Below are 14254 nucleotides of genomic sequence, written 5' to 3' on the forward strand. Positions count from 1 at the left end.
TATTGAAGAAGAAATGGCTGAAACCACAGTTGGAATACTTTATTTTGTTTTTGTTTGGGTTTTTGTTTTTTTTTTTTTTTTTTTTGATCCTAACAGCCCCATCTGTAATGACCTGGGCAGGTCCCTGCAGGGCTTCTTACCTGATCCTTGTCCTCTTCTAGTTTTCTCAAGGGTCCTTTTTCAGATTTAAAATTATTAATTTGTTAAGGATACATGGTAATAAATGTCAAACATTAAATTATATCACTGTCTGATCTAAGAAGTCTTTAACTAGCTGAATGGGTTCCATAAATTCTGACTCTAAGAACTGAACATAAAGAGTTCCAACTTTTCATTCTTAGTAATCTTACCACATACCCTCAGCGTGTGTGCTTGGCCAGTAAGTAAGTTGTATGTGACCTTTTCAGGGATTTGTGCTAAAAGATGGAAAACTGGAACTATTCTAGCAAACGTGAAGACCAATAATATGATATCATTCCAAAATAAAGCCATAAAGAAAGTCCACGCTGGAACTAATTGGCACCAACCAGGAAGTGTGATACAATACTCTCCTTTCCACTGAAAAACCTTCTGTGGTTTCAGGGTGAGGATGAAGAGAATGAAGAAAAACAAACACAATATGAAATTCAAACCACACCAGGAACAAAAAAAATATGCGCTGAAAGACCACAGAGTAGCATTTTTATGGGTAACTTTCAATTTTATCAAGATAGAGTTAGGAAAATAGTACGCATAGCTATGCTATGTGACCTAAATGCCAAGTTTTCATTTTGTTTTATATTAATATTAGGGCTTCTCATATTTCATCTCTGTTTATGTTTACATAAATTACATTATATCAAATCCAGATTTGAAGCATCTCGGAATAAATACTTGAGTAGTTCTTGCTAATATTTTCATAGTTCAACTTTTATTTTTAATGTTAGTCTGGGAAATAATGTTTGTGTGTATAAATTTAATTCAATCACATTACTATGCTCCTACATTATGTTTTCATCATTTGCACAACAAAGTTTGCTGTTTATCTAATATATATACATATGTTTTATGTCCATCTAGAAATATGTATTTTCCTGTTTTATAACAGCCAAATAATGCTAGGTATATATATTAAACACAAAAGCCTGCAAGAAAACTTTTTCCTTTATAATATTCATATTTACGTGTTAAGGGGGCATAAATTATTTTTAACTTATATGGTTAAATGATTAAAGTTCTATAAATCACAAAATAGCTGAGTGAAAACAGAAAAATAAGAGCTGAGTCAATCTATTTTCCACTGTTAGGAAGAAGATGGAGGAGAAAAAGTTAATTTTACATGACGCTGCATAATTTTACTTTAGCTGCTGCTTCATTCAGTGACTAAACACATTGTTTTGGAATATCCTTTTGTCATATGTACAGAAGGGCTTTGCTATTGTCCCTCAGGAAGGCTGGCAGCTGGCCCTGCACTTTGACCCCCAACCCTGTCTCAGCAAGGGGCTCATTGATATTCCCAGAAGATTCTCTCAATGGAAGAAGATCATTTAAAAAAGAAAAACTCCACCTTATGGGCTGGTGGTCCCCTCGCTCCTACCCTCTGCTCCTGCCCCCCTCTAAGTGATGGCACGCAGGACCGGTCAAGCCCAACAATCCCTGGGCCTTCATAAACTCACTATTTTTCATGTATATTTGATGGGTCCTTTCCCTCTTATTCAAAGCAGCTTTCACAGTCATGTTACTGGGTGAGAGCCTTCTATTCTGGACTTACATTTGATTAATTTGTGGCATTCATGTGTCTAATTTTCTACACACAAAGGGAATGAACTAGCTTGGACTCTATCGACGAGTCATTTTTGCCAGGAAAGTTCAAACGTAAAGGAAAAGGCTGTGTCAGTGGAGATGGTTTCCAGCTCGCTTAAAAGGAGCTTAGAATAAAACAGTCTGCTTAAAAAATAAAACACAAAACACAGCCATCATTTCCAATGCTTTTCTTAATGATATTTTAAAACACGTAAGCAAATACCTAAATGCTGCATTCCTTGTCATGCATACATAGATCTTCACAAGAGGGAGCACCCAAAATTACTGCAGCTTCACAGACATCACACACTTAAAAAAAGACTCCTGGCTTCCTTTCAAATTCCATCAGTCAACTTTTATCAACCATAGGGGAAGCAGAGGAGGATAAACACTGCCTGCGATACCATTTGGGTTTTAGGTTTTGGGTTTCTTCCAGTTAAGTTTGCAAAAGTGTGAAAGTACTAAAGAACAGAATATTGTTCCTCATTCTTACTATACAATAAATACTTCCAAATATGTCCTTAAATGCAATCCTTTGTGATTCCCTTAATTAATCTTGACTAATCCTTGAAGGAACCATGATAGCAAAAATTTAGTGTCTAGCATAACCTTACTACAGTTTCCCTTTTTAAGTTCTCATTTGAATTTGATAAGTTAATATTTACTTTAAAAAAATCCACATCATTTCTATTCAATGGCACTTGAACTTTTAAAAAATGTTTCAAAGAAATTAAAGCTAGATATGATTGGAAATAAGCAAAACGAGAAAGAGTTGTCCTATGTGTATGTAGCACAACCCTCCCTGTGTCCTTTAATAAAAAGCAGGACTCTGGTCATTCCATGATGTCACTGGCATTCCGCACCAAAAAAAAAGGTCCCCACAGATCAAATTCCACTTCCTTTCAATAAAGCTAAAGATGAAATAAATCTTTAAAATGCAGGGGGAAGAGAAAAATGTATATAAGTTCTTCCAGAAAATCTGAGAGGGCTTGCAAGGAATAAGGCACAGAATCAACAACCCTGGCTTCCAGTTTTGCTGACTTACTTCAATGACCTTGGGCTTACCCTTGTACTAGAGGCAGAATGTGTGTGGGCACATGTACCTGTGCATACTTTCAAGCTCTGGGGCCCGAAAAAGTCATTTATGTACTCTGGAGAGGTGAGAGAATACCATGACAGACAAATGAAGTTTGAGACACAGGATCCCATCCACCCACCCCTGCCCCAGGTTGGGATGTCCGAAACTAAGACACCCAAGACTCCCAAGAAAGGGAAGACAAAAGGCAGACATTCATACACAGGGCTCTAGCAGCAGCATTCTCTCACAAGAGTAGCAGGACCATTAACTTTATAAAAACAATAGCCAGGTTCCCTGAAGGCTGCAGATAGGGAAAACCTAGGTGGAGGTCTATATGCATTTCTAGGATATGCCAAGAAATTAAGGGGTGTGGCACTGGGCACTGGACATGTGAGGCAAAGTAGCGAGTGGCTGGGAATGAAGAATGTGTTTCTAATATTTACATTCAAGTTCTTTTTTGTTATTGTTGTTTATTTTATTTTCTTACAGTCAGGGTCTCACTGTCACCCAGGCTGAAGTACAATGGCTAGCTAGATCATGGCTCACTGCAGCCTCGACCTCCTGGGCTCAGATGATCTTCCCACCTCAGCTTCCCAAGTAGCTGGGACTACAGGCACATGCCACCATGCCCAGCTCGTTTTAATTTTTTTTGTAGGGATGGGGTCTTGCTGTGTTGCCCAGGCTGATCTCAAACTCCTAGGCTCAAGTGATCCTCCCACCTCAGCCTCCAAAAGTGCTGAGATTACAAGTGTGAGCCACTGTGCCTGGCCTATATTCAAGCTTTATACAAACACACATATACCCCTCTGCATATACACATATATACCCCGTAGCTATCAAAATACAGACCCATTTTTCTACAGGGGAGGGGAAGAAAAAAAGGAGAAAAGACAAAGAGGAATAATAAAGATCGTGGGGAGAGAACAACCCATGGGAAAGCCAGAAAAGAGAATTGAGAGACAGTTAGACCAGGGAGAAGCCTGGCAATTCCTACAGAGAGGACATGCCTAGGCAGGTAGTGGAGGGGAAGCAATGGTGAAATCAGGCCAGCAGCAGCACTGCATTAACACTTGAGTGATCAAACAAAGGGTAAAGCCATCAGGAAAGAAACTGACAGCTGCAGTCCTTAAATGCCCCAATTTAGAGACACAATGACTCCTTCTTCCATTGGCCATCCTCAAACCCAAGTCAGGAACATGCAGTGAGGCTAGACATAGACATAGACTTTCTAGACAGAGAACATACAAATAATTGTGGAACATAACAGAATCAGAAATGCCAACATAAATAAAACTTCAGAATTTGTAGGGTTTGAGCCTTGTGATGAAATCAACTAGTTGAAAAAACATTTTTTAAAAAATTTGATACAGAATATCTTATATATAAAATATACAAAACCTCAGTTTTATAAAATTATCATAAGCCCTCCATACTTTTACAAATCCTTCTCGGTCTTCAGATTCAGAAATGGTGTATCTATAATAGGAACTAATTCTGAAAGCACTTAAAAAGAACAATGTCAGGACAGCTAAATATATGACTTATAAAAATCACTAGTTCCTCCCACCTTGGTTCTGTTGACCTTAGTGGCCAAGTCCTTTTCCTGAGCTTTTAATAAACACATGCCTGTAAGCAAAGATACGCATAGTTAAATCTATACTTAGCATATTAACCCCCAGATGAGCATAAAGACATATGCTACCAGAGATCCAGGAAACAAGAATCTGGGTTTTGGGGCTTTCTGTATTGGGGGTGAATGTTCACCTTCCCACAAGAGTCTCACAATGGTGGCTTTCCCAGCCCTCTAGGAAGGGGCTTCCTCAAAAAAAGTAGCATCTCCAAACACTCATACATTGTGAAGCAACTCAAATTTCCAAGTAAAAAGATATTAAATGTATTAATAGAAAGGACTGCAGACTACCCTTAAAATATATATACGTGTATATATATATATATTTTTATGTATATGTGTGTATATATATATATATTTATGTATATGTGTGTATATATATATTTATATATGTGTGTGTATATATATTTATATATATGTGTATATATATTTATATATATGTGTATATATATTTATATATGTGTGTATATATATTTATATATATATGTGTGTATATATATATTTATATATATATATATATATATATATATATATATATATTCCCAGCTCTTTGGGAGGCTGAGGTGGAAGGATCACCTAGGTCAGGAGTTCATGACCAGCCTGGCCAACATGGTAAAACCCCATCTCTACTAAAAATACAAAAAAATTAGCCAGGCATGGTGGCATGTGCCTGTAATCCCAGCTACTTGGGAGGCTGAGGCAGGAGAATCACTTGAACCTGGGAGGGGGAGGCTGCAGTTAGCCAAGATTGCACCATGCCACTCCAGCCTGGGAGACCAAAAAAAAAAAAAAAAAAGCAAACAAACAACACAAGAGGAAATGATCTTCTACAAAAGGACAGTGAACTATTAAAATTCCACTTCCTAAGCAAGTGTACACCACTTTTTATTTTGAATTAAAATATCAGAAGATCACTGACAGGGAAAAAAAAGTAGGCCAGAATTATCTGGATTACTGCCCTAACTCTAGAAAGCTGACATAGCATGACCAAGACCTACTTAAAAGCTGGCTGTATCTGTTTAACACCAAACTCTGAGGAGAGACCTACCTCCTAATGGTGAAAGAAACTGTTTTCACATTTTGAGAGGCAAGACCCATAAAGGAAGGGCCTCTAATTTCCAGTAATTACCCTGGTACCTTAAAGTCCGTAATTACATAGAGAACCATGCCCTGAACTGGCCTTCAGTTGGTTCCAAACCCATTGCATGTAATTAGCCTTGATTAATATCCCACATTTCACATCAACAGACACAGTGAATCCAAATGATTCCCACGTTCTGCTGCCTCCGGAAACCTCACTGTTCAAATTCTGTGCCTTTATCAAGGGAACATGCTGAGCAAATGGGATCAAATGATGCCTTGGCACCCACCTTGGTCTAACTATTCAGAGGGAAGTAGCAATGCCTTTCATGTAATCATCTTAATCCCTTGTATCAACTAATTAATACACAGAGAAAGCTTTTACTTGCATGTGAGCAATTATAGCAACTTCCTGGTCGGTGTCCAAATGGATTCACAATATAATTCATGAACAATGAGGCTCTGGGAAAGACAGCTCCTAGAGATGACTTTTAAAATGAAAAAGTGTGTGTGTGGGGGTGGGGGCGGGCAGGTATTAATGATTCTAATAGTAGAAAAAGAGGACAGCAAGTAAATCTCAGTTTCTGAAAAAAAATTAATGTTGGAACCCTATTGTGCACATGACTGGCTTAAACAGACCAATTGATGTGAGCAAAGTAAGAACCAATAAATACCAGAGTTTGGATTCTATATCCGTATATACCTGAAATACCACCAAGTTACTTCCAAGGGACTTGAAAACAAACCTGCTGCCATTAAATAATGGGCTTCTGCTAAAAACAAACGAAAGTAAACTCACTCTACACAGACTTCTGAAAGCCATCTAAGATTTGAGCTCAGTGATTTCACATTCCTCCCTGGGGGGTACCTGTTGCAGTTGCACGGGTGCACTCTCTCTTCTCTCTCTCTCTCAACAGGAAGTAGCACATCAGTATTTTCAGCTGCCTGAGAACTAATCCAAGAATGGGGCCCAGGGCGGCAAGGGTTGGGAACTGTGAGCGAGTGGGGGAAGAGGGCTTAGGGGCCTACAGAAAAAGATATCCGAAGCATCAGCACCTGCTGTGGGGTTTCTGCTCCCGTGTCCGCCCCAGCCAGAGTGGGAATTGCTCCAGCACTGGGGCAACTTGTAATCCAACCTGGGGCAGAGAGCACAGGAACCTAGTGGCTCAGGCGTTCAAGAAAAGGCTCCCAGTCATAAAGCACCACATTGTGGTAACAAGCCCCGGGGTTGCACTGTGAACTTTTCCTGTGCAGATGGCTCGCTGTCGGGGAAAAACATTACCCAGCAAAGTCCAGTCAACAAGTTCACTGAATCCAAGTTTCAAAAAACAAAACGCTTCCTCAATCACCCCCTCGTGCCAGACTATGCTGAAGCTGCTTATAAATTACCAAGGGTCATCCTCTTTTTTTTTTTTTAAAGAATAAAATGCTAATGGCATAGGTTTGGGCTCTCTGAATTAAATACTGTACTGAGCCACCCTGGGAACCAGACACTATCCTCTGGCTAGAAGGCTAAAGAATGAGCAATTGCCAGCCGTGGAATTTTCATGATCCAGTTTCCCCACCTTCCTGTCGCATACCCACTGGCAGGAACCAAAGGGCTGTCACCCTGACGAGAGAAAACAAAGCTCTGCACTGCGTTATGAAACAGGTTTTTCCTTTCTCGTAGAGACACTCCTTTATGGCGAGGTCATGTAAAACAGCAAAATGCTCAATGAACACACTTGGTCCTGTTCCCTGCAGGTGACCGTACCCTTCAACTTGACCTGTGATACAGGGAGAGGGAAAGAAAACCACTCTCCAATTTCTAAGTAAAAGGTGACCAGACGGCAGGGATGGCAAAGCAGAGCCTACTGTTAACAACAAAAAGAAACTGCAAACAGCAGCGTGGACAGACAGTCATACAGGTGTGGGCCGGGACCTTAGAGGGCAAAATAAAATGCTTCTGGAGTCTAATCTTGAGCCAAATTGACTAAAAAGGACAGCCCGGCAGAGAACGTGCGTGATGTGAGTTACTCTGGCACCGAGAAACCTGTTCTTATCTGGCAAGTACGCCCCCTGCTGGCCGCGGTGCTGAACTCCGCCTCTTGGTCCTGCGCCAGACAGCCCTCGGAGCTCTCTGGTTTAGACCGGGGGAAGGAGAAAGGAGCTCTGGCAGAGCGAGTCCCTTGTAAAGCACACAATGGGAGCAAAGGGTGCCGTCACAGCAGTCACCGCCCCAAACCACAATCTTTGTCCAGTCACGGTTCTCTGCAGTCAGATAAAATCCAAGCAAGCTGAAAAGAATGAATACAAACCTGCTTGCTGCTTTGCAAGTGAGAAGTTTAGAAAGCTAGGGAGGAGGGGGCCGCCAAAGGGAACCTGCCATGAAAAGATTCTTAAGTCATTCACAGATACAGTGCTTGACTACTGGAGAAAATCTGGACTAACTGCCCTTTTAGAAGTTAGAGTTTACTATAACGTTAACAGTAATTATTTAAATTATTAGCACATGGACACTGCAGCGTAGGATCAAAATGCATTCAAACAACGGGATGGAATTTATTGCCAACAAAATATAATACTAAAATCAGTTTTGCACTTCCATTGTTTTTTTACACATGTCTTCACACGGACATTTTCATGTTTCTTCCCAAGCTTTTGCCTTCCTTTTCACCTAATTCTTTGTCATTTTTGTTGCTGTTGGGGTCTTGCATAAGCATGCTGATGTTTTGTAAGATCAGCCCGCTGTCCCTTATGATGATTCCCTTCAGAATTGGTGCATTCAATGTCTTTGGCAGAAAATCCTATGTAATACTGGCTTGTGTGTTAAGCTCATTCCCATCATCATCAATTGGAGACGCTTACTTAAGGAAAACTGCCAAGACGTTCAGCTAGGCGCCATCCGTTAAGACAACCAAAAAGAAACCTGTTTGTAAAGGCGCAGTGGGTCTTTCCCTTACTGGCACAAATGTCATAAGTGAGTATCTTTAGTTCACATTATCTGCCCTTAGTCTCAGTGAGTTCACCAGCTCAGGCTGAACTTGGCTTCTCCCTGGGACCTCAATCTCATGTCTGTTCCCAGCTCTCAACTTCAAACACAGAGGACAGAGAAGGCAAGGCATCTAGGCGTGAGCAGAGAAATATAATGGGCAAAAGAAACATGCTTCATCTCCTTTGGGTCAGTGGGTCTGGTTTTCATTTTCTGGTTTACATATGAAACCAGGGGGTAAGAAGTGCCAGTGGAATATAGGCCCCAAGGACAAATGCTCTCATTTCAGAATTTAAAAGAATTTTCCAAAGCTAGATATCTCAGTGCTTCTTTACTTAATCCTGTTGGCCGTAATTTTTAGGTTTTGTTTCTTCATGCTCCTTATGCAAGCAGAAGACTGTCCAGGTAAAATGAGAGTTTGTAGTCATTCTTTTATTTATTTGTTCAAGAAATATTTATTCAGTGTTAGACCTGTTTTGCCAAAATATCCTATGTGGATAGTACAGAATACAACAGCGGCTTTTATTCACCACTTCTTTTAGCTTGCACTATGGATGTCTATCCCAGGGAATAACATGATTACGTGGGTTTCCATGCTATGGTTTAGAGAGTTCAACCCTTACCTATCAAAAGGTCTGGGAATGAGTGTGTGGGTCTATTTTTATTTATAAGAGGGGGAGAACGGAACAGTTTTAGAACGAACAAAATCAATCTGCACCAGTTTTGGGAATAAGCTTCTGCTGTGAATAGAGCTGTCAAGACATTTGCAATCTGTTTGGCCCTGTGTCCACAAGAGGCTAAAGGTTTCATAACCAAAAAGTAAGGATTTTTATTCTTTACCACTTGGCTAGCAGGAGCCTCATAAGACTTGGGGTGATTTTAGCTGTTCTATTACACCCTAAAGCACCAAAATGCACATCTATATTTATACTCACATGCACATATGTGCAAAATAATCTGTAAGAAAAACAGAATCTTAGGCTCACTACTATTTTATTTCAAGTATGGGGATAAGTATGATAACTATCAATTGGTTTTCTTATTGAATTTAAGACGTATTCATACTTTCTTCAATAAAGTCAGATGGAAAAGAGTTATTTGGAAGAACTCAGAGGATTTTTACTCATGGCTTCAAACATCACTAAATGGTGGAAAGTGGGAGTACAAGGAAGACTTTTATGAATCAAATGGTTGATTTTCGGGAGTACTCAGTGTCTTTCTCTCATATTGTAACAATACTAGGAGCCCTCCCTTGCAAAAAAAAAATCATTCAATAAGCTCTGACTGATACCAAACCCCCTCAGATTAAACTCAATATGCCATTAATATGAAAAGAATTTGACAGTTTACATAAGGGATGTGACCTGGTGCCAACAACCTCTGGCTTCTCCATTCTCCAGATGGTAGCAGATTAGTAGGCAGCCTTTATTCTCATAAGAAGATTTTTTTCCCCCCATGGAAAAACTATAAAGGCCAATTCTGTTCCAAACTTCAAGTTTCCTTCACAAATGTCTACACAATTCTGGGCCTTAACTAATGCTATTAAAAGAAGCCCCTGGGCTTGAAGCTATATGGAAGGGGGGAAAAAGACTAAGGCAAACTTAACTCTAATGCCTGTCTTTAAAAGATCTATTGACAGAAGCAGTGGGGAGAGTTTGAACTAATGTTAACTTAAAGAAAAAGGCTGGTGAGATTCAATTGTGGATGTGAATGCTTGCTTGAGTTTGATCTTGACGGGGCTTAAGATAAGGGAGATAAAAACCTAAGCCTACTTACATATTAAAAAATGCAGTTGCACTAAATTCACTACATACCACTGTTCTCAATTTGATTTATGCCCATCATCAGTGAAGATGCTGAAGGACACCCCTGTCTAATATGGGAAGAAGCCACAGCAGAGGGCACTTGCTCTGCTTTGCTGATGCTAACGTGAAAAACCATTTCCTGACAATGCACGATACTCGTTCTTTCACATTAACTCTTCAAACGTAACAAAGAATAAAAACGGAATTTTTCTTTGGTCCTGTTCTGAGGTATAAATATAACAAGCAGTTAATCAAAGAGATCCAAGAGGTGAAAAGCAGCCTTTAGTCTGTAAGAAATTATTCCACCAACAGATAAGAAGTGATCTTTAAGTAATCAGGAAAAATATCATATTTTGTAAACAGACTGACCTTAGTAACACTTTTAAGGATCTTCAGGTGCACTTTAAATCCAGAAAGCTAAGCAGACACTTTCCCAAAATGTTTGGGTTGTTTTGTGGTCATCAGGACACATACCATGTATCCCAAAGGAGAAAATTATGTCCTCTGAGGGGAAAAACCTTTTCTAGTAATCCTTTGAACCCACCAAGACTGCTTTTCATACCAATTAGTTCATAAAATGTGTTAGAGATACTTTTCATGCAGTTTTAAATGTTTTTATTAACATTTTCTCAAGTTGGTGAAAATGTGGTAGATGTAGCTTGGATTTTTTTTTCCAGGCAAGTTAGTCATGATGACTGAGATCCTGAAAACTATAAAATAATCTATTGTAGACCTACTGAGCTCAATGAAAACAAGTAGCACAGCACATAGTCCTTACCCTTGAGGAGTTTACATTCCACTATGAGAATTGGGCCACAGAATGAAAAGATTTGGTAAAAATTCAAGGTATCAGGGAGAAAGAGATTATAAAGAAAAAAGACAGCATCTAGGATTCCACCTATTTAACATGACCTATTTCTAGCAGTTTCCAAAATCATTTAGTTAAGAGAACATCAGCATTTGCCAATAGCAAATATACTTAGAGGTCCCAAGAAATAAAAGTTTTCATGGAAATCTCAAAGGCAATAAAAAGGAAAGGCAGGATTTATTTAATTTCTTTTCTGCAAACTGCCTCATTTCCTAAAGGAGGAAATGCCAGGCAAACAGTAACTTAAATGGTTGTATTAAACACTCACCCAAGGATGCCATTAATGATAACTGTCCAGAACTTGTTTAAGCTAAATGTCTAGTTCTCCAAATGCATCGGCAGGGTACAAAATGGGTTGTTGTAAATGGATGTTTTCTAGTTTTCTGCTTTTCCTACAGTGTTCTCACAGAAACAACCATTTCCATCATCATTATCATACTCTTTTTAAGTGAGAAAAGTTACATCCAGTAGAGGAACTATCCCCAATCCAGTAACTGGGACCATCACGGCAATCACATAACAAGTTTAGGAAACGGCTTAAGGAAATGAGCTAATAACATGACTGCACACAAGCAGATTATCTCTGATTGCTACAAAGAATGCTATTAGGGGGCACCATGTTTCCAAGTGATCATTTTTCCAGCCTGTTACAGAAAGGTTAATCTGCCGTCCTATTCATAAAATCAATTTAGAATCTTGCCAAATGCAAAAGAATTACATGAAAAAAATCCATCATCAGGAACTATGCCGACATTTCTTTCAATTGTCTTAGACAAGACTAATTCAGATATTTTCCTGACCATAAATTTACCCATGGAAATAAAGGCTGTATACATGACTTTATCAATTACCACTGCTTATCCAGCATGTTGGAGCAGACTCATGTGAGAGGAAAACACAATGGCTGTTTATAAAGGTTCTTATAAAGCTGCTAACACCCAAATTATTTACTACATGAGAATGAGGGAACACATCAGAGAAGCTTGCCATACTGTTATTTAACTGCAAAAATACTAAGCCTCCTCCCTTTAGAATCTCAGAACAACTGCTGAAGTTGTACAATACTAAGGTGTGATGAAATCCCTTCTCTAATCCACATTCTGACAGTCAAATTGTTGCACATATAAACCCCTCCACCCCATGAAGGTTAGCATTCCAGGGTTATTTCCAGTCCCAAAACATGGAAATCTGTTTCAACTTGCCCACCTATCTCAGCTTTAGTCAGAGAATTTTGCCTAAATCTTAAGTATCTATATTTCACTCTTAGTTTAGAAAGATCTAGTGGCCAACTACACCAGTTTTTCGCCCTTGCCTTGCAGCAGATCAGATTGTGAAATGTAAATCAGAATACCTTTCACCTGCAAAATGACTAACATAATTGCCAACACAAATTTCCTCAGGCCCTGAGGGGGTTTTCAGAGGCACTTTGGCCACCTGGTCACTCTGAAACAAGTCAATTGTGAACATAAAACTCAAATCTTGCTTGGGAACGTAGCCTGGGAAAAGGGGAAATTTGCCATTCCCAGATGAAGTCAGTTTCTCGGTTGGGCTGTTTTGTCTGTGAATAGCATTTCATAGTTTCTGTGAAATCTAAATTTCAGATATTACTGTAGGCTAAAACAAAAAGGAAGAGCTGTGTGCCCTTTCAGACACAGAAAACCCAGTGAAGGTTCAGCAATAAGGGTTAAGATGCAAAAGGCAGGCCGAAACGGGAAATTTAAGGATACCCCACTCCAGATGGATTACATCCAAGGCCCACTTATCTGAAATGGAATTAGACCAAATGTCAAGAGGAAAGAATGGCCAGGCTTACCCCTTCGTGTTTTGGGAAGAGCTAGTCTGAATGTTTTGCTGACATTTGAAGTATAAAAGGGTCTTATTGTAAACTCTGGACCCCCAGAAGGCCTGCTTCTAGAGAACTGTGAAAGGAGAGATTAGTTGGGGGAGCCTCACCATCGGATTCCACCCTTCAATCACGTTAGACACAGAGCTTTAGCCACTTCTTTGCTTAAAGTCATGCATGTGGTCAAAAGTTTAATTATATCACCGGCTGCATCAGCAAGCATATTGTCTGCCATCCACAGGAGGGATAAACCTTTTTTGGAGCGCGGGGGTTCAGACATTGCTGTGGAAGACTTCCTGAAATCTTAGGTTATGCCTGACAGTTGGCATTTTTTTCCTTAACTGATCAAAGAACATAGCCTGGGTCCTGATAAGATTATAAAAGATTTCTCTCGAATTCTCAACTTTTGGTGAGGCCTCTACTCTCTCGCCAAACAGCTGAGTTTTTAATGGATTGTGTCTCAAGACAATCAAATTGGCACCTTTGACATAACTGACTGGTTCTTTGCCAGCCAGTCATTCCTCCATTCAATCAACAAGAATTTATTAAATGCTTAGGTGCTGAGAAGATGCAAAAGTGTGCCTCTCCTAGAGAAGTCTGCAATCTAAGCAAAGCACCACGTAATTAAACTAGCTATGAGTCAATCCAACTGGTTATGCATGTATACCAGGCCAAAATCCATGAAGTCTGAGGTAACTACAAATTTCATTTTGGAAATTGAGAAATGTTGATGATAATCAGTTTTGGGTTGTGGATTTCAGGGGTGGTTTCGGGCAAGGAGTAACTGCCCTGGACACCAACCCAGAGAGTCCCAAGAGGGGGCCACACGAGGCCAAAACCAGTTCCCAGTTCTAATCAGTAGAGGAAAAAAAGTGAGAAATTTCTAGACCTTTTAAATACATAACTTTCAGTTTGAATCTGAGTGTTCTAAAAATTGTAATATATGTAAAAGAATACCAGAAAAAATAAATGATAAATGGCCTACCTCAGACTTATCAGGCAAGAGGCACCCTTATAAGCATCCACTGTTCAGAGCATCTGTCCAATTAATACTGATGGTGACAGACTTTTGTTCTCCCCAAACACACACACTCATACCCATGTACATTTGCCAAGCAGAATTCTTTTTGCAGTAAAAAGGACATGATGGCAACATGATTCGCAAAAGGAAATGACACTGCTGTCTGAAATTAAAAG

The 14254-nt window shown here is 39.5% G+C and overlaps 1 protein-coding gene across 2 annotated transcripts in view, besides 8 other annotated features; it reads right to left on the reverse strand.

The window, feature by feature from the left end:
• Positions 1–14254, reverse strand: part of EFNA5 (ephrin A5) — a 294044-nt gene that overhangs the window by 187673 nt on the left and 92117 nt on the right. The gene's annotated exons all lie outside the window — the stretch shown is intronic.
• Positions 3637–3976: an enhancer, noted in NCBI's record as "active region_22865". NCBI's record gives its function as "activates an Ori minimal core promoter by ATAC-STARR-seq in GM12878 lymphoblastoid cells {active_cell/tissue: GM12878}" and the evidence as "EXISTENCE:reporter gene assay evidence [ECO:0000049][PMID:35858748]".
• Positions 3637–4225: a biological region, named in NCBI's record as "OCT4-NANOG hESC enhancer GRCh37_chr5:106903957-106904492".
• Positions 3690–4225: an enhancer, noted in NCBI's record as "OCT4-NANOG hESC enhancer chr5:106903957-106904492 (GRCh37/hg19 assembly coordinates)". NCBI's record gives its function as "activates a minimal SCP1, AML or CMV promoter by ChIP-STARR-seq in naive H9 embryonic stem cells {active_cell/tissue: H9 hESC(naive)}" and the evidence as "EXISTENCE:reporter gene assay evidence [ECO:0000049][PMID:30033119]".
• Positions 6150–6861: an enhancer, noted in NCBI's record as "NANOG-H3K27ac-H3K4me1 hESC enhancer chr5:106906417-106907128 (GRCh37/hg19 assembly coordinates)". NCBI's record gives its function as "activates a minimal SCP1, AML or CMV promoter by ChIP-STARR-seq in primed H9 embryonic stem cells {active_cell/tissue: H9 hESC(primed)}" and the evidence as "EXISTENCE:reporter gene assay evidence [ECO:0000049][PMID:30033119]".
• Positions 6472–6751: an enhancer, noted in NCBI's record as "active region_22866". NCBI's record gives its function as "activates an Ori minimal core promoter by ATAC-STARR-seq in GM12878 lymphoblastoid cells {active_cell/tissue: GM12878}" and the evidence as "EXISTENCE:reporter gene assay evidence [ECO:0000049][PMID:35858748]".
• Positions 7322–7471: an enhancer, noted in NCBI's record as "active region_22867". NCBI's record gives its function as "activates an Ori minimal core promoter by ATAC-STARR-seq in GM12878 lymphoblastoid cells {active_cell/tissue: GM12878}" and the evidence as "EXISTENCE:reporter gene assay evidence [ECO:0000049][PMID:35858748]".
• Positions 7482–7776: an enhancer, noted in NCBI's record as "tiled region #13332; K562 Activating DNase matched - State 12:CtcfO". NCBI's record gives its function as "activates a minimal TATA promoter and a strong SV40 promoter by Sharpr-MPRA in K562 cells {active_cell/tissue: K562}" and the evidence as "EXISTENCE:reporter gene assay evidence [ECO:0000049][PMID:27701403]".
• Positions 9249–10745: an enhancer, noted in NCBI's record as "VISTA enhancer hs1734". NCBI's record gives its function as "enhancer in: midbrain (mesencephalon)[8/10]" and the evidence as "EXISTENCE:transgenic organism evidence [ECO:0001131][PMID:17130149]".

Source organism: Homo sapiens, chromosome 5 (genome assembly GCF_000001405.40).
Source record: "Homo sapiens chromosome 5, GRCh38.p14 Primary Assembly".
NCBI lineage: Eukaryota > Metazoa > Chordata > Mammalia > Primates > Hominidae > Homo > Homo sapiens.